This window comes from Homo sapiens, chromosome 8 (genome assembly GCF_000001405.40).
Source record: "Homo sapiens chromosome 8, GRCh38.p14 Primary Assembly".
Classification (NCBI taxonomy): domain Eukaryota; kingdom Metazoa; phylum Chordata; class Mammalia; order Primates; family Hominidae; genus Homo; species Homo sapiens.
In genome coordinates, this window is record NC_000008.11 from 132,808,874 (window position 1) to 132,832,165 (window position 23,292).

The 23,292-nt window shown below is 34.5% G+C and overlaps 1 protein-coding gene across 31 annotated transcripts in view; it reads left to right on the forward strand.

Annotated features, from left to right (window-relative positions):
- Positions 1–23,292, forward strand: part of PHF20L1 (PHD finger protein 20 like 1) — a 73,420-nt gene that overhangs the window by 33,486 nt on the left and 16,642 nt on the right. For 24 of the 31 annotated variants that reach the window (NR_156424.2, XM_011517075.1, XM_011517077.1 and 21 more), the window contains 6 exons: positions 2,173–2,255; positions 5,764–6,016; positions 8,015–8,203; positions 8,466–8,672; positions 15,131–15,187; positions 16,391–16,498. Coding sequence is in view for 30 of the 31 variants with exons in the window: in XM_011517075.1 (XP_011515377.1) it covers positions 2,173–2,255; positions 5,764–6,016; positions 8,015–8,203; positions 8,466–8,672; positions 15,131–15,187; positions 16,391–16,498 (897 nt within the window). In the remaining variant the exon portion in view is untranslated. Of the gene's footprint in view, positions 1–2,172; positions 4,318–5,763; positions 6,017–8,014; positions 8,204–8,465; positions 8,673–15,130; positions 15,188–16,161; positions 16,287–16,390; positions 16,499–23,292 lie in introns of those variants that run through there. The other 7 variants (XM_011517088.1, XM_017013516.1, XM_047421825.1 and 4 more) reach the window with 2 other exon arrangements.

The window sequence follows — 23,292 nt, forward strand, 5'->3', positions numbered from 1 at the left end:
TTTTACTTATTTTTTAATATAGAGATGGGGTCTTGCTATATTGCCCAAGCTGGTCTCAAACTCCTGGGCTCAAGCAACTCACCCAGCTCGGCCTCCCAAAGTGTTACAAGCATGAGCCACCGTGCCTAACCTTAAATACCAGTTTTAATACTAATCATAAATGTATCAAAATCATTGTCTTACACTCGGCCTTTTTTATTTTAAAGTACATTCTGAGTACTAGGTACCTTTTGCTTAATTTAGAATTTGTTTGAGTACTACTTTAAGAAGATAATTTTTTTAATTTATTTATCTATTTAGTTATTTATTTAGAGATGGAATCTCACTCTGTTCCCCAGGATGGAGTGCAGCGGTGCCATCTCGGCTCACTGCAACCTTTGCCTCCCAGGTTCAAGCGATTCTCGTGCCTCAGCCTCCCAAGTAACTGGGATTACAGGTGTGTACGTCCACACCCAGCTAATTTTTGTATTTTTAGTAGAGATGGTGTTTCACCGTGTTGGCCAGGCTGGTCTCGAACTCCTGACCTCAGGTGATTCTCCCATCTCAGCCTCCCAAAGTGCTGGGATTACAGGCATGAGCCACTGTGCTGGGCCCAAGAATATAATTTTAATATGTGAATTCCTACCTAGATCACTTAACTTCTTTAGGGTAGCTGTCTGATAAAGTCAAGACATGTTGCCCATGGATACCTTTACATCATACTGCCTTTGAGGGGGCACCATTTTTCTCCTGTTAAATATGTTGTGGACAGCTTCTGTAATGTATGTAGTATAATTGCTGTAGTCAGTTTACTATTAAGTTGTCAGTTGTTAAACATGCTTCCTTTGGAGCAAAGTTTTTGTGTGGCCAACTTTGAAATAACACAAAAATGATTTTTGGTGACCTTTTATGAGCAGGGTGGCCATAAACAAAAACAAATACTTGTTCTAGGCTTATAAACTGGGGTTCACTGAAGGTACCTGACAACCTTGAAATGACACAGAAATGAATTTTGGTGGCCTTTTATGAGCAGGGTGGCCTTAAACAAGGCTTATAAACTAGACTTCATCGAAGGTTACCTGACAGGCTTAGCAAAGAATTTTAACCAAGTAAATGCCTATATTTTATTAAAGCAGAGTTTTAATGTCTTGGGATTCAAATTAATAATACAGTTATATATTACAATAAAATACTGTCTTTTTTTTTTTTTGTGGCGGAGTCTTGCTCTGCCACCTAGGGTGGAGTGCAGTGGCAGGATCTCGGCTCATTGCAACTTCTGCCTCCTGGGTCTAAGTGATTCTCCTGCCTCAGCCTCCCGAGTAGCTTGGATTATAGGTGCCTGCCACCACGCCAGCTAATTTTTGTATTTTTAGTAGAGATGGGGTTTCACCATGTTGGCCAGACTGGTCTTGAACTCCTGACCTCAAGTGATCTGCCCGCCTCGGCCTCCCAAAGTGCTGGGATTACAGGGGTGAGCCACTGCGCCTGGCCTATTCTGTCTTTTAAATTTGAGAATTAGTGACATACATAGAAGAAAACTGGAACTTCTAAAAATTTTTGTCATTTATAGACAAAATGACAAAATGAACTATAATATTAAGTTCAGATGTTCTAGGAAAGACCCACACTTTTTCTCTTAACATAAAATGGATCCATCTGTGTTTAAACTCTTATAAGAAGGTAAGGTACAACTGGACACACATAAAGCTTAGATTAAAAGGATCTAAATGAACTTAAGAATTGGTAGCTTTTTTAGTTACTAAAACAACAGAAAATCTTTTTTTATGTTCTGGATGTTTGGAAGGATTTCTTCTGTCTTATTCTGTTTTTATAGCTGTATAGACAAAACCTGTATTATAAGTATTAGCAACCTGAGCAACCTTAATGTAGACATTAAGACAGAATTTTAACTTTTTACAGAATAAATGTGTGTGTGCAAGTGTGTGTTTTCAGTGATTTAATTGAGTAATATTAAACAACAGACACACAACTGTATAAGCAACTCTCAAGTTCTGATTCAGTCCCTTGGCTTATTATTAAGCATATTTGTATTTTTGAAAAGAAAACATTTGAGATTACTTCCTACGTATTAAAAAGTATAGGAAATTTCAACTGCTAAGATTTTTGCAAAGTTAATTAGGGTGTAAATCAGTATTTTTTCTAATAAGCAATTTCTGTACAATTTTTCTCAAGGTTTGTTGGCATCCAAAGCTGTTGGGGTTGATGGTGCTGAAAAAAAGGAAGACTACAATGAAACAGCTCCAATGCTGGAGCAGGTATGAAATGGTAGCATTTGATTTTTTTCAAGGTTCCCACTGGAATGATCACGGAGCTCTAGTATCTACGTAATTGAAATTCCCCTTTTGATCAGATATGGGAATAGGAAGCTAATTAATTGATGATATATTTTTAACTCTGCCTTCTCCAAGGTATACAGATAACTACAGACTTCATTAGTGTTTGATTTCATAGACTGGCATTAAAGCCTTTGTCTCCAAAATTTGAAGGCCTGGAGACAGGCATCCCAGGGTATAAGCTTCCAGCTGGATCACCTTTAACTAGCTTACAAAAAGACCCTTACACAAATACTTTCCATTTGTGAGTTAAAACAGGGTTTTTTGACATCGAATAAAGCTTCTTTTGTAAGAAGTTTCTTTTATATTGTAACAATTGGTGTTGTTAGACTGACTATGTGTTTTATGAATTGATCAATGAGCCATACATTTTTGCTAGGATGTATATTTTAATAACTACAAAAAAAGAGAGTTTAAAAAACTATTAAGGGTCTGTCTTTAAACCACCTAATAGAGGAATTTAAAAGTGAAGGTTGCAGTTGCTAGATTTTGCCTTGGCTACCTTCAGATTCCCACAATACTTGTACATAATGAACTGTGCATGCTTTTACATTCTCTAAGGGCTTAACTTCTTAGGCACTGTAAGACTATAAGAACGCAGTAATAGCCATAACTGGATTTCCTTGGTTCTCCTGTTTTAAAATCTGAGCCTTAATGTAGTTTTAATATATCCTTTTTGTATTACTTTTCTTTATTAGTAGCCTAATAAAGAAGACTTTGAGTATCTTTTGCTCTCCTCTAGATGCGTTTTAAAAACTATTCCAAATTTAATTGATATTGTATTGAGTTTTTCAGGGTTATTTTAGGCCTGATTTGATAACAATGCGTTGTTTTGGTGCCTCCATTAATGTTGTATTAAATCAATGGGTCTTTTAAATTGATTAATATGTCATTGAATCATACCTTCTGATTTTCTGTGATCATCCAACGGTTAAGTCTTTGCCGTTATTGTCAATATATCAACCAAATTTTAAATAACTTTTTTTACTGTGTATTACTATATTCAACGTCCCAGATATAACAATATTTTGTATTTTCACCACTGTTTATGGTATTCTCAGAATGCGATAAATCAGGGACTTGGGTAATAAAATGTTTCTGGAAAATTCATTACAATGTCAATCTTTGATTATGCACAATCCTGCTGAGGTGAATGTGATTGTGAAAAGTACTTATTAAATGTGGAAGTTAGTGTAGAGGGCAGTACCCGTCTTAGAGAGAAGTACAGAAAACCACGTTTTGAAATTGAATTTAAAAAAGAAAGGAAAATTGTGTAACTCGGCTGTTTCTATTTTCATAATTAAAAACTTTTGAGAGTCCTTGCCAGTTTTGTAACAAAGAGACCAACAATCATTAATGAAAACCTTGTAAATTATTTTAGATTTTCAGGAACACCATGCCATTCCCTCATTTTCTACTTGTCATTCAGGTTGATTTCAATGTGAAAATGTTTTGTGAACAAACACTTATTTTTATCCTATGTGTTAGCCTCGCTTCATAGTTAAAAAGCCGAGTTATAAAGCTCTTAATTACATCTCAATTGGTATCAGCAATAGACCTAAAGGAGAGGTATTGATTGTTACTAACCTCTGTTTCCTAATGAGTTAAAGTAATGTCACTCATGACATAGATTGATAACAGGCCTGTAGTCAAAACTTACTGTGCTAATGGACTTATTTATATTTTTTAAAAATTCAAACTGTGGTCTTGAACCCCAATTCTCAGCTTATTAATTATAGATTATTTAATTGTATTAGGGATATGTCATGTTATATTTACTTTTGGATAAAACTTGCATTAGATGCATAATAACTCAGTAAGTTTTAAAAACAATGTTAATTTTTCCTTGTTTAGAAGTTAAGCACCTTATCAAGATATTAAGTTTTAAAATCTTGTTTTATAACTTTGTAACTTGAGAGTAATGGATGCTGTAGTGATGTCTTTCACATATGTGAAGATGAACAATAAAATTGTTTATTTACAAGTAATGGCTCTAATTACTTTTCTGGCAACACCTTTTATAATAAGGTTAGGAATACTATCCATTTATGAAGTACCTTTTCAAATAATTAATCTGCACTTATACACATTTATAATGAGTAAATTCAATAATAGAAATGATGACAACTGAATGAATGGGACACTTGACACCAGGCCTTTTATGTGGTATGTCCAACATGCTGTCTATAGAGCATTGAAGGTGCCCTACTTAATACCAAATATGCACTTTTCTTCCCCAGCAAAATTTGACTTGTATCTCAGTGGGAACAGAATTATTTATTTATTTAGTCCCCAGAAAATGATCGTTCATATTCCAGAGAACTGCAGACAGCAGACCTGATAGTTATTCTCCACAAGATATGGAAGTAAAAAGATTTCTTGGGGACAAGCATGTTGTTTATAGTGCTAGCAGTCTGATTCTTTATAAAGGCCTATGGTAGAATAGATTTTCAAAAAATGCATATTATATATTTTGCTCTCAGATAAGTATATCAGAAAGAGATAGAAGTATTGCAGAACCATAGATTGCAAATTCATCCAATGTAGTTATTTTCTCTTGTTTTGAAAAATGGACACATTCACACATATTTTAACATATGTAGGAAATTTTACAGCCAAATGAATAAAAATGATCTTTTATGAAAGAACTGACAAAGTTCTAATTTTTTTTTAAAAGTATCAGTTGGCAGGAAGAAGGTAAAAACTCTCATCTAAGAATGCGACGTATTTTGTTTTTAAATCCAATGTTTTTAACTTACACTTTATCTCTTTGGTTTTTTTTTTGTTGTTGTTGCTTGTTTTGTATTGTTTTTTAGTCTTTTAACTCTATATTGCTGGTGGCTCTGATTTCATGATGCATTGTGCTTATGAAACTCTAGCTTTCAGCACTAAAATGAGTTAAAGATAATGTTTTGTTAATTTGGTCATTGTTTTTCCTGTTCAGATCTTTCTTTAAAGGGAATCTGTCTACTTAGACCTTTACATTCAACTTAAAAGAAAAGATTTTATAAGAAAACATCTAAAATCAAAAGCTTAAATGTATTCCTCTAATCCTTTAAAACATGAAAATGCTGTTTATTTTTCGAATTATTGTCATTGGCAATTATGGTTCCTAAAGGGGTATATTTCTATTTAATACTGAAAATATTTGTCCAGTAAGATAACATTTTATGTTCCGAAAATATTATGAATAATATATTTTAAAAAATGAATTTAGACTGAAAGTTGACAGCATCCCTTTAAAGACAGCCTATTCAACTTTTAGTTAATAATTTGTGGGGTTCTTTTTGGTTTTTCATTTGTAATAGAAATGTTATATGTTGCTTAACAATGTTTCTGGATACTAAAGTTGCTTAACAGTCAAAATAGAATACAAGAACAAAAATGAAGAAGCCAAAATAAAAATATCAATTTTTTATTATTTATTCAGGCGATTTCACCTAAACCTCAAAGTCAGAAAAAAAATGAAGCTGACATTAGCAGTTCTGCCAACACTCAGAAACCTGCACTGTTATCCTCAACTTTGTCTTCAGGGAAGGCTCGCAGCAAGAAATGCAAACATGAATCTGGAGATTCTTCTGGGTGTATAAAACCCCCTAAATCACCACTTTCCCCAGAATTAATACAAGTCGAGGATTTGACGCTTGTATCTCAGCTTTCTTCTTCAGTGATAAATAAAACTAGTGAGCACAGATTTTTAAAAAATAGTTATTTATCCTATAAGATACATTAAAAACAGTTTGATTGTAGTTATATTGTATTTTTATGAAGTTGCTTTTTAAAAACTCAAGTGGATATGATAGGGAAGGCTTGAAACTATTTCAGGGGCAAAAACCATAGACATTTCTTACTGATTTATTGCTTAGAGACTACTGCTGGTTGAGAATCCTTTCCATTTAATAACACAGATTCCACTGTAGTTTGACTCTCCTCAACTCATAATCCAAGCATACTGAGAGGCCTGATTCATTACAAAAAAAAAAAGTTATAAAAAGACCCAGGATAGCTATTTTTACTTAAGACTATTCCTGTAGATTTTTTGTCCCCACTTGTCTATAACTTTCCTCTGCAATACATTTTATTCATTCTTATTATAATATTTATAGTCTAGACTTCAGTTTAATCTTTTTAATGAAAAAAAAATGCCCCCATGATTGTATTTTTAAAGATTTTACTGTTTCAGTACTTCTAATTTTTCAAGAGTTAACGCAGTCTTTTTCGAAAACACCTTTCACATGGGTATATCTATCTATCTCCCTATATATCTGTATATATAAATAATACAAGATTTGTGTTGACCCTGAGTTTCTCATATTAGTTTAGTATCCTAAGTTGGAGACATGAATAACAGTTATTTGAAAAGTCAGTTGGTAAATGATGGTTTTTTTTGCTCTTTATGCAAAAAATGAAATACATGATCAGTTGAGTGAATATGACATGTTTCCTTATTCCATATTGTGTCTTCCAGAATAATCAAAGATGTTGGCATTCAGAAGACTTTTATCAAACTTATTAACCTATTTTCCTTCAGTTGCCATATTTTCTACTGAATCATTTTTTCATTTTGATCAGGTTTTGCTTTTTCTTTTTAATAGGTGGAAAGAATGGGAACATAATTCAATTGTTTTCCTAATAAGCTTCATTTCATTATGGCATTTATCATGAAATAGTGTCAGTAGTAGTCACTGGAATGTCATATGACATTAATAAACATTTTATTTTGGAAATTATATCTTGGTATTATAACCACAATATTATAGCAATTAAATTTTATTCTTTCATATTTTTAAGTTATCAGCATGTCTTTTTCGTTTTGATTGTAAAATTACTCTTAAATACCCAAACATCAATGTCTTTAGACTGTTCTTATTTCCTCTTTCTAAATTAACATGAATATATTGGCATATATAATCTTGCCTATTCTAGTCAAATGTGTTTGTATGCCATGTAGAAAGAAGATATCTAAAAGTGTGAGAGACATTTCCAAATATTTATATTATATTGCTAGAAGATGCCTAAATTACTTACCAAGTTGTTAAAAAACACAAGTACACAATGTCATAATCTTAAATATCCTCATTATTTGCTCACAATAAGTATACAAAGTTGTTTTTGTTCATTTTTTTTTTTTAATGAATCAGGCCCAGACATGTTTATAAAACTCCATTTGGGGGGGATGATGATGGGATAAAATTATTTACATTAGTGTAAAGTAAATCACTAACTCTATAATGTTGTATCATCTTTGTCCCTGCCTTTTTTTCCCTTAGAGTTTCTAGATTTGCAATGTAGCAAAAGGAATACATATATATATATTTTTCCTTATCTTTTGCTGTAAAGAGACTATTTTCCCGAAGGAAAAATGGCAATTTACACAACGATCTGCAATTAGAGAAATTAACTGTAGTCTGTCACTTGGGGGAGCTACTTGAAATTAATGTTCCATTTTATTTTCTTTTAGTTCTAGTAGAGTGTAGATTTTACAATTTTTGATTGACTCATTTTGAATGAGGGCACAATTTTTGCCTTTGATTACCTTTGGAACATGCCATTCCTTGTGGATATCTTATAACAACATCAGAGGGAAGAATATAAATCATTTTTTCCCATTTATCTCCTTAAATATTGTAAGATGCTCCTGGTATGTATCTGCTTCGTGAACATTGAAGATCTTTTTCTAGGTCCTCCACAGCCTGTGAATCCCCCTAGACCTTTCAAGCATAGTGAGCGGAGAAGAAGATCTCAGCGTTTAGCCACCTTACCCATGCCTGATGATTCTGTAGAAAAGGTTTCTTCTCCCTCTCCAGCCACTGATGGGAAAGTATTCTCCATCAGTTCTCAAAATCAGCAAGAATCTTCAGTACCAGAGGGTAATGTATATTGATTTCCTATAGAACCAAACATAAAAGAAGATAAAGAAAAAACTAAGAGATAAAGATTATTAAAATATTAAGATATTTCTGCTCTTATATCTTCTGGAGTTATAAGCACTTCACTTATTCTACAAATATTTATTGAGTGCCTTCTTTGTGCCAGGCACTGTTTAAATTATGTAACACTTTAATTCACAGTGATAGTAACTGAGCCATTTTATCTGTGTTAATATTACATTACACTCTTTATTTTGTGTAGTGCCTGATGTTGCACATTTGCCACTTGAGAAGCTGGGACCCTGTCTCCCTCTTGACTTAAGTCGTGGTTCAGAAGTTACAGCACCGGTAGCCTCAGATTCCTCTTACCGTAATGAATGTCCCAGGGCAGAAAAAGAGGATACACAGATGCTTCCAAATCCTTCTTCCAAAGCAATAGCTGATGGAAGAGGAGCTCCAGCAGCAGCAGGTAAAAGAAAAAAAATAAAGGCTCCTATAAGTAGATAAGTAGCTAGGCTTGCAGTTATTAGGTATAAACATTTTGAGGTTTAACTACATTATTTTGATTCCTATATAATTCCTTTTCATAAATACTTTAACATTTATAGGAGAGTTTCATCTCCGTTTTAAAGGTCTTTTGTGTGATCATTTTACAATCATATTCCCTGGACATACATGCTGCTTAACCTTGTCACTTGATCTATTTCCTTCTCCCTGCTTCTTTTTTATATATCCTTATTTCTACTAAATATAAATTATTAGAGCCAAGTATAGTTACAGGAATTCTTACTTTTGAAGCTGGGAAATACTTAATGGGATCAGTACTTTGGTTTAAGGATTTTGATAGAATTTAATATTTAAGAAACACTGAGCTATATGCCTGTATCTTAAATATAATTCCATATTTTGGGGCAGAATCCTCCAAATTGAATTAAATTTGCTGTAAAGTTATTTGAGGAGTGCAATATGTAAAATCAGCCATCCTTAATAACACATTTTTTGCATGATTTTGTGATATTTATTGTAGTTCGAAAGCATTTGGATGTGTATTTTACCAAGCTGATATTTTAAATCTAATAATATCTATTCATGTTTCCCTTATGTGGGTGCATTGTTTTATTTAGAAGTTTTTAAGAATTATAACCTGATCTAGAATACACATAAAATAAAAAGGCCAATACTAGTTACAAATGCACTTCTGGTAAATTACTGTTGGAACTAGATGTTTGAAGGAAGTCTGAATTTAGTTTGTTGTGAGTTGGAGAAAAACATAAGGCAGTTTGTTGATTCGTTACCAAGGGTGTTGGTGATCATTGTGTTTACAGGCGTCTTCCCTGAAACCATTTTATCCATTTTTTGGATGAAGCATAAAATGAAACTTATTCTTTTCTGGTGATGGCATGTATTGAAATAAAATGATTGAAGTAACATAAGAGACATATACTTATTTTTATTAATTTTTATCTTTATATAAAGGTTGAAGTTACTTTGTACATGATAATTCTTTATCATGTTTAAAAAAATAAAACAATACCCAAATGTGAATATTTGTAGATTTTGAAACATTTCCTGTAGTTTCTCAAATCAGATCTATTGTCTTTTGACTCTTGGTCTTTCCTTAAGATAATTAATTTTTCTTTTCCACTTTTCCACAAGATTTCCAAATTGTCATTGACCCATTGAGATACTTTTTTGATAAAGGTCTTATTCGGTTCTTTAACGATCTGGAATTTGTTACCGTACTGAATATATGAAAAATATGTTAAAGTTATAAGGTTGTATATACATTGGGAAAATTATTTTCAAATGTACATGTGAAAATATTTACATTTTTCTTTAAAAGTATTCTAATATTTGTAACAATATTGAAATATAGGCCAATATAAGTAACTGTGTAATAACTAAGAGTCTTACATTAACAGATTATATATCATAAAATATCAATGTAGTGATTGTGCATGGAAGTCCTTGACTTCGATGATTTTGCTTCTAACCAGATTATTAACTTCCTCTTTTCAGAATTTCTAGCATATTTGTGGCAATGTGGCTGACTACCTTAGAGGAAGGCACACGAATATTCTTTCCCTTTTTAAATATTAGCAGTAACTATTGGAAAAGTAAAATAAGTAAGATCGTTTTCTGGGAAAGTAAAAGGTAGAGAGGAGTTTAGCTATAATTTGAATTTGTGGAAGAGTAAGGATTATCTGGATATGATGAGCTTAATAGTACAGTAGCTGTCAACTTTAATTGATTATAGCAAGGAAATGCATAGTTTTAATTGTTAATTACTGAAGATTTATTAGAGGGTTGAACACAGTATTTGAATAGAGGGAGGTGAAATTCTCATTTGTTTCTGTGACCTCTTAATTTTTAGTTTTTGAGGAAAGTAGTGCAATTTAGGTCATGTTCTGACTGAACACCTTTTGATTACAACCTTGTGTGCCTGTCCCACGTGCATTGAAATTCTCGGTGGTCTCTATGCTTTTCTCCTTAACCTTTTTGTTATTCACCCTCTCTTGACTATTTTGCAGTATTTGTTATGCTTCTGTCTGTTCCCCAAGTCCTTTTACATCTAGAGCCAAAGTGCCAGGTTTTTATGTTTTTATTTCTCTGATACATATGTACATATATGCACATACTCATACACACATGTATGTTTTGTTGGTGTCCATATTATAAAAGTAAATTTTCTTACTGTTGAATTTTAAAACTGATAATTGAAAACATTCTTTACAGTTCGTCAGAGACATTTTCTGAGTTATTTTTGTCAAATTGAAACTCTTGGGGAGTTTAGAATGATGAGGGTGTTAGTTGCTAACTGTGAAATTGTTCAACATGGTTAGGTTTTTACTTTTGGGGGAGCAAGATAAATTCACACTGTTGAGTTTAGCATTTGATGCTGAAGGATTGATGAGATTTGCAGATAGTCCAATTATTATATACAACTTTTCTTAATTGTTTTCCAATAGAGATAATGAACTTGCAATAATCTCTCGTATGTTCTTCTGCTGGGGTGGATGCCCACATGTCTAGCCACTGTTAAGAATGCTATTGCTGCCTACATTACCAAACAAGTAATTGGTATCTTTGTAAAAATTGATGCCTTTGTTTTTATTTTACTATCAGGATGCTTTGTCACAGAGCCAGCCAATTTTAGATAAGGATACAGCCTCAGAAAATCTTAATTCTGTTAGTATCTGGGAGGATAGAGTAAATCAAGTTTTTTGAAAAGGGGTCTTTTGAAAAATACTCTTGGTTCAGGTTCTCACAGGCACCTTGGGCCAACAGTTATCTATTGCCCCTTGTCAACACAATTCTCTTTAGGTGGGAAGCACAGTGTGAACAGATGTGGAATCTGCCTTCTGGAAACTTAGAGTCTAGAAGGGACACAAAGCTAATAACTGAAATACAAATATTTAAAGCAAGATTAAGTGCCTGAATAGGTGTAAAGTACTCTTGGGTGTAAAGGAACAAAAGATTGCCCCAAGAGGCCTCTGGTAGAGCCTCTTAAAAACTCTGGAGAGACAAACCATCTGCCTTCTCTTCCTGCTTCCTTGAAACTCAGTTTTTCATCTATATGATGAGATTATAGTAGATGATGTCTGTGGTCACTTTTGGCTCTACAATGTTGATGTTTTACTTATCATTAATCAGGCATTTGATAGAGTCTATGTTTATTCCAAAAAAAGATTATGATGTAGGATTATTTTTGCTTAAAAACGTCAATTAAGATAGCCTTAGAGATGATAACTTATTGTTTGTAACCACTGTGAAGACAAAATTGGCATTAGTAGGTTGTATGCATATAATTTTGAGCCATTTTAAAAAGTTATTCTTGTATTAAAAGAAATACCTTTAGTAACCCATCTTCATTTTTTTTTTATTTTTTAGCAAATTAGTAAATAAGTTTCAAGGAGCATTTTCCTGTTTTATTGCAGCATGTCTTAGTTAGCATGGATAGGAATGTTGGCTTGACGTGGCCATGCAGAGTGTACCTTTATGTAACGTCAGGATGTCCATGAGCAGGTCCCCTGAGTTTTCGGGTAGCATTCGATGAAATGCATCAGGCTTTGCTTCAGTGTCATTCAAAGTCATCTTAGTTTTTGAATGAAATGTAGATGCAAGTAAATGTATTTACTTATTACATAGATACTTACATAGATACTATGATACTATCATAGATGAGATAGTTGGACTCTTCTTAGTGAATATTCTGTAGAGTGTTCATGAATTATATTATCGATTGGTTAATATAATCCATTTTATCACCAGTGAAAAACAGAAGTAGGTCATGGGGTTGGTCTAAGTATGGCAAAAAAGCATCTTGTCAGTTCTACCTCATCTGCCTGTGGTGGGTTTTGAAATGGCCTTCATTTTTATTCCAACATCTCACATCAACTTTACATTTACTATTTAAAAGTCTTTTTGTTTTAAATTGTTTTTCAGTTTATTTTCCAGATTCGTTCAAAACAAAACTACAGCTGGAGACTCTGTTGCCTCCACCCTCATACCAAATGTTCATGGCTTCTACAGAGCCTGGGGTTTCTATGGAGAGTCTCAGGGATTGCCTCTCTTTTTAGTCAGAAGAATCTGTAATGTTTAGCATACCAGAAGAGGCTTGAGAAATCACTCTACATTACTAGTTTTTTGAGTTGTGTGCAGGCAGGCATGGTTCAGAGATCTGCCTCTCTGACTCTAACTAGAGTAGCTCCATTTGTGTTTTGGTTTTTGTTGTTGCGTTTTGTATTCAGCTGCCAGATAATTTTTTTTTAATGTTCTGTTGCTAAAATTTAGTTTAAAAATTACTATTCTACAAACTAATGTTCTGGTACTTTGGTCACCAAATTCTAGCACGTGGTAAAATAAGGACGAGATCGTGAACTTCTTGTAAAACTAAACTTATTTTTCTTGTTGACTTCTGGAATGGTCTCTTTTGTTTTCCTATTTGTGTGTATTTTTTAAAGTCCTGCCGTTGCATATATGAATATTTATTTTAATATCCTTACTTGAGTAAAACATTGACAACCCTTTATGAGTCTCCCAGTTTTACTCTTGAAATTTTATCATTTATGAAATCGAAAGGTTTGGGAACCACTAGAACAAGTAAAAACAGTATCTCGAACTGACTCTCTGGACCCCACTCTGGGAATGACTGCATCTCTTCTGCTGTGTTAACTTCCGTGTTTCTGGTGCAGTCGTTCATAACTGTTTTATTTGTCTTCCAAGTACCTAAGGGGTGCACACATTCCATTCAGTAAAAGTAGCCTAGTAAGGCAGTTCCTTTAATCTGACTCCCTGTCCCCACTCCAGGAGATTCTAAACATCATTGTTCCACCTTTTCCCTAGAGATCCAGTGCTCCAGAGATGTAAGAACCTAAGAGGCAATGATCACTGTTAGCAATATATCTGAATGTATCTGTACTACCACTGAGGATTTGGAAAGCACATGCCTCATGGTTTGCATTGTAAATGCTTTATTGTTTTCAAGGAAATTGCATCAAATTTATAAAGTTCTAATAGTGCAGCAAGTAGTAAACAGAAGGGATGCATTTCTTCAACAGTCTTGCTAATAAGAAAATTTAATTGTATTTCTCTTTGCTGTGATATCCCTTTCATTTTTTCTGTCATAACAAATGGAGATTATTGGTATTCTTATTTAGGTTTAAACTTACTTGCTAGAGCCTTATTGGCACTTGATTTGAGTGGTATTTTTATATTTTTATTATATTTAAATGATAGAAAATATTTGAAGTAAGATGAATGAAATTTCAGATTTTTTGATACTGTTGTAGAATGATCTTAAAAAATTAAACTGGTAAATGGTGACATTAAAGCATAATTTAATAGACTAAAATTGTATTTTAAATGTACTGTAGTATTTTTCTTAGATGAACACTAGCCACAAATAGATATTAGCATTGGGAATGGTTGAATATGAATTGATTAAATGTACCTGTGTCAGCTGCACAGTAATTAAAGGTGCAATATTGGTTTAAAAATGAATTTTGGACTATTAATAATACCTATGTTTTATTGGAATATTTATTGAGATTGAATATTTTAATGTATAAGTATGTCTTTGTATTTTACATTTATATATAGAACAAAAGTGGTTTGCAGAACAGTTTTATTTTGGCTATTATCATTACCTAACAGTGCATTCATGATGGAGTTCAAAGGTACAAGTTTGTTTTAGGCACAAGAGCTTAAATGTTAGTTTTAAAAATGTGTACAGATTGTTGAAAACCAGTATGCTTTAATATGGAGTTTAATATTTCATTTGGATAATCCAGATAGCATTCATGTCATAACTGTCACAGAAGTAGAAATGGTACCTGGAACTACTACTCAGATGAATTTCAGTATCTTTTGGATTGCCGAAGGCTGTGGTGCTAGAGTAGACCTTTACTGATGGCCTAGTACAGTTAACTTTTTCTTTATGGTTAGACCCATATTTATGCTATTTCTGGAAATAGTGTAGTGTCAAATTATTACCCTACCACAAAGGAGAAAATGAAAAAAATTACGTATTTACCAGTCTTTGGACTAGACATCTTCCACATTTTGACTCACATAATCCTTATAACTGCATGAGGTATACAGACTTATTCCTGTTTGACAGATAAGGAAACAGAAGCACAGAGGCATTAAATGATGTCCTCAAGGCCACAGAGCTAGTAAGTGGTGGAACCAGATGTTGAACCTGAGTAGTTTGAATAACAAAAATCACATTTAATTTATTGTTTTGGTTGTTTTTTAAGGTAAGAAATCTCACCGCTTTGTTACCAGTTCAGGCAGTAAAACATGTAGACCGTTAGGAGAAAAAGAGTCTTACATAGAGTTTTATGAGCAATTGTAATGTAAAATATTGTCCCATACTTTTAAGTTTTTCTGATTAAACTTACATATTTTTCCCCTAACCCACAGGAATATCGAAAACAGAAAAAAAAGTGAAATTGGAAGACAAAAGCTCAACAGCATTTGGTATGAACAGAAAGTAATCTTTAAGCAAAAGACTATAAAGCTTGACAGAGAGGGAGGACATAGTCTGCCCCTTACTCTTTACCAGTTAATGCTACCTTAGGTGTAAGTGATCATCTGTTTTAGTTCCTACTAGTGTTAGTCAGCTCCAGATACATGATTTATTAAACACATATCTTGTTTTATATGTAACTTTTTTGTCAAGAGAGTCTCTTGCTTTCTCCAAAGGAACTTTTGTGTTTATGATCATCCCTAGTCAAAATTATGGCTATTCAAAAATAGACCTCGATTTAATATTGTTGAGACTTTAGAGAATGGATGCTAGATTAAAATAGTAATTTTTTCACACTTTCTTCTTCATTATAGTTTATAAAAATGTTATTGAGTTTTCTGCTATACTATTTTCTGTGCTGTAATGACTAAAAGTCACAAAATAATGGATGATAGTCTTAAATATACTGTAGATTAGTTAACTGGAGCTTGAATCACTGAAAGTTGGTCAAATATGTTGGATAAATTATAGGCTAAACCATTGTGAGTTGGAGCAATAGCTAGTAGGATATGTGTGATGATTTAATTTGAAATGTAGGATACTGCTCTAATATTTATTTTTTTAAGTACATATGATTGGGGAAAAGAATGCTTTACAATTTTGGAAAAATTAGTTTAATGAAATATATTTTTTTTTCCTCGTGTTCTTAGCCTTCATTGTTAAACACACAAAGAATGTAAATAAAGACTGGAGGAGTTGTTTATGAATTGATTTAATTATTTTTAAAGCTTATCCAAAGCAAAAAGTCCATCAGGTTTTTTTTTTTTAAATCTCCTAATTTATTCTCTCATTAAATTACATATGGAAATGCTGAGTCTCTTCATTCAGGTCCTTTGTAAATTATGGAGTTTAACTTCTTACCACATCAGGAAATTGAGAATATTACTCATTGAAGGTTTTAACTACTGTCTGTGTTAACTTTAAGGTATCAGGAGTTGGGATTTCTCAGCACTGCTAATGAAGATCCCCTCTTATAGTCCAATAAGCTTATCAGGACTTCCAGAGTCATGACATGAACAGTTTAATTGAACCCATCCACTCTGGGCAGGTGACTGGAATAGCTGATTAAAACATAAATGCTGCTTTTAGGTTAACCACAAAGGAACAACTCAGGATCAGTCGTGATTGCTAAAGTATTCACTTTTATCTTTTAGGTAAGAGAAAAGAAAAAGATAAGGAAAGAAGAGAGAAGAGAGACAAAGATCACTACAGACCAAAACAGAAGAAGAAGAAAAAAAAGAAAAAGAAATCTAAGCAACATGGTAAGTACACTGAGATGATTATTCCCTCTTTTTTTAAAATTTGAAGTTTCCTTTGATTCCCCTTTTCTTTTACAAAATGGAGTCATGACACGATCCCCGTGTCCCGTGTTGAGAACTGAAAGGTTTCTGTAGCTTTCCTTTGACATGAAATTTCAAAAATATACTACTCTGTTTCACTCTGGCCTATAATTGTTGCACTCTGGCCTTTAATTGTTGCAACTGATTAGACATTTTTCCTTCCAGCATTATGGTAGACTCGATGCCCTGACCAAGCACCCTTTAGCATGCTCAAGTAATTATTCTCAGTCTAGAATTGTAGAGTTCCTTAAGTTAGCTTTCAAGAATGAGAGTGAAATAGATATTTTTAGAAGAATTTGAGAAACCAACAGAATTTGGTATCAGCAAAGGCCATGTGAAGATGGAGCAGAAATCAGAGGGATGCAGCCCCAAGCCAAGAAGCCAGAGGAACAAGAAGCTGCAAGAGGCAAGGAAGGATTTGGCCCTGGGGGCTTCCAGAGGGAGCACTTCCTTGTCAAGCCCTGATTTTGGACTTCCAGCCTTCAGAACTTTGAGAGAATAAATTTCTGTTGTTTTAAGCCACTAAATTTATGGTAATTTCTTATGGCACCCCTAAGAATGAACACAACTCCAAATTTATTTTAAATGATTTAAGTAACTTTGCTATCAAAATCAGGAGAGAATAATGTGGGAAAGCACAGCCACAAACTCTTCTTACTTATGGACATAGTTCCAAAATCCATAAATAAATGTTATAAAATTAAATCTAACAATGTGTTAAAAGGATATGACCACATAGGATTGGTATGCAAAATTGTATCAGAAAATTAGATGAAACGCAATTGTTAAAACATAGTGAAGTCTGTTTCAGACGTGCTGTATTGGCACAACTAACCAGATAGGTAATAGCAGATGCTGCTGAGGAAATGAAGGCAACTACACAACTACTGTGGGAAACAGATGGGGACCAGGGAGTAAGGTGACGATGTGTGCGCCAAGTGGCCTAAAAACCCGTGAGGAAACTCACACGGTGCATCAAATATGAGAGTGTTCACAGCAGCACTGGGAGCAGCCCAGCTCTCCATCAAAAGTCATGCATTCCTTCAGTGGAATAAATAAATGAATTACAGCTACAGAATCTCAGGAACAAAATGGTAAGCTAAAAACCAAGTAACTGAAGAAAACATAATATTTCACTTATATAAAGATAAAAAAGTTTTAAAACTAAACAGTGTATTTTTAAGAGATTCAACTGTGTGTGGGAAAAGCATAAAGAAAAACTAGAGAATGATGAACAAAAATTCAAGACAGTGGTTGCCTCTAAGGTGGGGAAGGGCCATTATCAGTTCAAACTGGAAAATGGTGCAAAGGGACCTTCAAAAATGATGATACTCTCTTAAACTGTATGATCAGTACCTAAGTGTTTTGTGCTATTGATATTCTTTGTGTCATACCCATTTTTTTCATATTTATTAGATATTTAATAAAACCAGTTTTAAAAAATACAAATCCAACCGGGCAGTTTTGTGGTTGGTAATCATTGTTGGTAAATTCTTCAGATTTTAGCTCTCTCCATAGTCCAAAAATAACATTTAATTTTCCCACAGAATGTGAAATTTTCACATTCTCGAATTCTAAAGCTGCCAGAGTAAATTTGAAGATACAGGATCAAAATGGGGTTCAAAGCTTGAAACGGCTTTCCAGAGAGTCTTGAACATTTCCGGGCACTTCTGTGTGTGCCTTGCGCCTCACTCCTTTCCCTCCTGCCCACCCCCCCATCACCTCTTCATATGTAACTGTGGAATTCAAGCTAGAAATGATGTAGAGGTAGGAAACTCCGGAGTTTGGTAAACAAAAACTATTCACTGTGAACTCATTTGATTACCGAATACCCTTCTGTGAGTGGTATGTCACAATACAGAAATGAGAAGCTCAGGCTGCAAATAAAACTTCCAGATGAACTCCCACCTGACCAAAGGCTCTGAGGGGATTTGCCTAGCTTAGGTGTTCCAATGGAGACCTGCATTGTCAGTGCAGGAATGGCCAGCTATTTCAGGGTTATCTTACGGCACAGCAACAAACTGTGTTCTGTTCTGATATTTAGTAGCAGACACAGAATCTTACATACAAAATACCTGTGAAAGTGGGGAAAAAGATAACAGCAGCTGATACAAAACAAAATAAGAAGGGGCCCACACTTGGTAGCAAAATATGAGGGCTAGAGCTTAAGAGAAGGCAGGAAATTGTAACTTGAGAGAAGGAGGAGCAATTAGGATTAATAGAGGAAAAATGGCCAAAAAAACCTCACCTTAGAATTGTGACCAGCCATTAACTATGGAACCCTTTACAAAGAGCCATTAAAACGTACTTTAAATGGTATATATTTTTATTTTTTAATGAAAAAGAAAACCTTATATATTTGTTTACATTTTGAAATCAGGCTTACAAATGAAAATCTTAACTTTGTAAATAGAGTCCTAGTAAGATGCACAGAAACATTGCTGTTTATAAACAGCAGGTGTTGAGTTTGATAATCACTGTCATCTTTGTAATTAATTGTTGCATTTGAGGAGAATTTATTCTGAGCTATTTACTTTATCTTAGAAATGGCACTTTTCCCCAGATGGTTAAATTAGAAGAGTGGTCTTTAAGTGGGAAATACAGGATTTGAAGTAACTTTGAAATTTTAAAGACATCTTAATGTTAAAGAATTGACATTATTACTGTATGAGGCTTCTAGTATGTTTTTTAGTCTACAGTTAGCACCATGAGGGAGTTTCAAAATTCTTTCTTTTATTTACCACTCAACATTATTTTATATATCCTGCTGGTACTTATGTACCCAAAACTAAGCATTTTATAAATATTATTACTTCATTTAATCCTCATATTAACCCTTTACAATAGGATCTGTTATCTACATTTTACCAACAGTTAACTGAGAGAGAGTGAGAAAGAGAGCTCTCCAGCTCTCATAGCTAGCTAGTGGTGAAAAGCAGATTCATTTCAAATCCAAGCAGTCTGACTTACAAGTCTGAATTTTTAACTCTAATCACCATGCTATGTTATTAATACCTGAAATACTGTTTATCAAACTGTGTATTCTTCTCTTCAACAAGTTTTTACTTGTTTTTATTGGCATACTAAGTTCTTGTCCCTGTTATTTTAATGCAGTTATGCAAAGTAATTTAGATTAGTTGTTTTTTATTATTTTATGAGGTAGTAGGTTAAGATATGTTTTGATTAACATAATTGGTTTACAAGACATAATACTAACATTGTGTTTAATTTGTGTGTATGAGAAGTCACCATGTTGGGATTTAAGAGTGTCATCTTTGCCAGTTTTTAGCTTTGTTACTTTGAGCAAATCACTTCATCTGTCTTTCATGTGTCTGTAAATATAAGGATACTGCAGGCATACAGAGATTAAAAAGAAATAGAGTTAGAAGTGAAAAGAGAATTGAAAGCATTGCATAGTAAAAAAGATTCCTTCGAGGAGCTTGTAAGTCATTGAAGTATATGGTAAGAGAGATAAGCATACATAAATCTCTACCAGGAAGGTCTGATATTTGTGGTAAGAGTGGTACAAAATAAATATTTAAGCTAGAAAAGTTGGTATGATCAAGGAAGGGACTTTATGTAGGAGACTACTTCTGATCTAAGCCTTGAAACATAACAGACTTTTATTCATAATAGCCAGAGGGAATTGAAGTGGGGAATACAGACAGGGTGCGGAATGCCAAGTTTTACCTATTAAATATCAGCCATGTTTTATTTTAGTACAAAATTGAGATTTCTTTCATTGTTTTTACAATCAGATTCTGCTTCTACTTTTACTTTTGCTGAAAGGACAATATATAATGGAGTTGATAAGAAGGCAGCCTTGAAGGTTTAGTATAGGTATTCAAATCCTGCCCGTAACACTTACAGCTAAGCGACCTTTGACAGGTTATTTAAATTCTCTACATCCCAGTTTCCTTTCTTCTAAAATAAATGGTAATTGATAGTTTTATTGCATAGATTTATTATTCGAATTAAATAAAGTAATCATTGTAAAGTACTTGATACAGTACCTGGCATTTAATAAATGTCCTTTCCATGTCTGGGCCTAAGTAATATGGTGTTGGGCAAACTGTGGTTATGGTGAGGCCACTGGAGTCAGAATAGCGTAGTGCTGCCCAAAGACTGCTGTAATCTGACAGCATCAGCATCATCTGGGAGTGTTTCATTCCCAGTGCACTGGAGATGAGGCCCAGGAATCTGGGGTTTAACAAGCTTGCCAGCTTGTGCACCCTTTAAATGTTGAAATACACCGATATCACTTATTTGTTAAGAGTGTAGCTTCCATAGTCAGGCTGCCTGGGTTTGAATGTTGGCTTTGCTATTGATAGTTGTATATTCTTGGGCAATTTGCTTCATCTGTCTTGCCTCAATTCTTTACTAGCAGTCCTACTTCCCTCATTAGATGCTTGTGAGGATTAAAAGAGTTAATACACATAAAGAACTGAAAATTGCATTTGGCACATAGAGAGCCCTCAATCAGTGTTGGTTGTGCCGTGGTATTTATGATGATGAGTGTAAGTTTCCCATTGCTGCTGTTGCAAATTACTGCACATCAGTGGTTTAAAAAAATATGTATTTATTATCTTAAAGTTCTGGAGGTCAGGAGTCCAAAATGGGTCTCTCTAGGTTAAAACCAAGGTATCAACAGGGCTCCATTTTTCTCTGGAGGCTCTTAGGGACAGTCTGTTTTCTTGCCTCTTCTAGTTTCCAGAGGCTTCTGCATTGCTTGGCTCTTGTCCTGCTCCCATCTTCAAAGTCAGCAGTGGTCCAGTCTTTCTCATCTTGTTTCACTCTCACGTCATCTCTTCTGCCTCCATCCTTTCACTTTTAAGGACCCTTGCCATTACATTGGGCCCACCCATATGATCCAGGATACTCTCCCTGTTGTGAGGTCAGCCGATTAGCAACCTTAATTCCACTTTTCCACATAGCTTAGCTTATTTAAAAGTTCTAGGGTTTAGGACATAGACATTTTTGGCAGACTATTCTGTCTCCCACAGCTGCCACCTTCAAATGGATACTTAGCACAGACCAATGCGTCTCTTATAAGCTCACTTTTCCACTCTCTGTCTTTCCTTTTTCCCACTCGTTTCCATCTCTCATTTCCACCTCTCATGTATTCCCTAACCTGCGTCACTTGACATCCTTTTCCTCACAGAGTTGAGAAGACAGACATCATCAGGTGGGAACTTGCTCATACTCTATCTACCACATCTGCATGCTTACATGAAAATATTCATCATCTTAGCCTCTATTAAAATGGAGGGAATGTCTGCTTTTCTTAATCTAGCATTTCTCACCACTGCCATCCCCCTTTCCCACATCTTAAGGTTCATGTAGGTAATGTGTAAGATTTCCCATCTTACAGAGCCCTCTTCTAAACTTCTGTTTCTTCTCTGGTTTCTCCACCTTGCATTTACTCTTCAGCCCCATCTCATACCCACTTTTGTTGCCTTGTTGCTCACGCATAAACCTGGAAATCAATCTTGATAATGCCGTCTTAGCTCTCGGCCTCCAGTCTATAACAGCACTCCATCTTCCTTAAAATCTTCCCCTTATTTGCCATCACCCAAGTTCTGAGCCACCAACATTTCTTTCCTGGACTACTGCTGTAGCCTCTGAACTGTCCCCCCACTTCTATGTGTGCCTTCCTGCATTCCATCCTCCATTCCACAGCTAGAGTGATCCTCTGGAAATGAAACTGTCACATCTTGCTCCTCCTCCACATAAGCATTGAATGACTTTTTATTGCATTAGGGTAAAACTTTTTAAAAAAAGCTAATCTGGCTCCTGTCACTCTAGCTTTGTTTCTCCCTTATTCACTGTGTTCCAGCCAGTCTTACAGCTTGCCAAATGTGGCATGCACTCTTCAGCTTCAGAGCCTTCCCACATGCCTGGAATCACACCCCCACCTCCTTTTTTCCTTCCCTTACTATACCCTCAACTCTCCAGTAAGCTGCATATGGCCTCTCCCCTTGCACACATCTGTGGGACTCATTACAAAACTGAGAAAAACAGAATTTTTACAGAGTTCTTCCAGGACTAGTTAATTACCTTCAGAGATTTATTACTTGAAAAATTTATTGATCAGATTATCACTGTATAATTGGTGTGCCAGACATCAGGAGAACCTCTTTACGAATTGTGGGGAAGAAAAAAGGTGAATTTCCATCTTGCATATCTTTTTTTTTTCCTCTTCAACTTTTATTAGGTTGGTACAAAAGTACCTCAATTACTTTTGCACCAACCGAATAAGTTCTGGGGTACATGTACAGGATGTGCAGGTTTGTTACACAGGTAAATGTGTGCCATGGTGGTTTGCTGCACAGATCAACCCATCACCTAGGTGTTAAGCCCAGCACGCATTAGCTGTTCTTGCTGATGCTCTCCCCCACTTCCCACAGGCCCCAGTGTGTGTTGTTCTTCCCCATGTGTCCATGTGTTGTCATCTTGCATATTTTACTGCAGACATAGTTGTGATTATAATGGAGAGAAAATGTGAAATAATCCTTTTTCACCTCTATAGTACTTCACAAAAGTTTACAGGTACCAGTTAGAACCTGGTGCCCCCTACTATGTATATATTGTCTGGGGTATATTTGTTTCCCAAGTGTTCTTGCTAAACCCAGTTCATCAGATCCATATGTAGCTTTTCATGGATGAGAAGCGAAAGTGGTAGCATGATTATTTGGTGTATCCTGAAACATGACTTT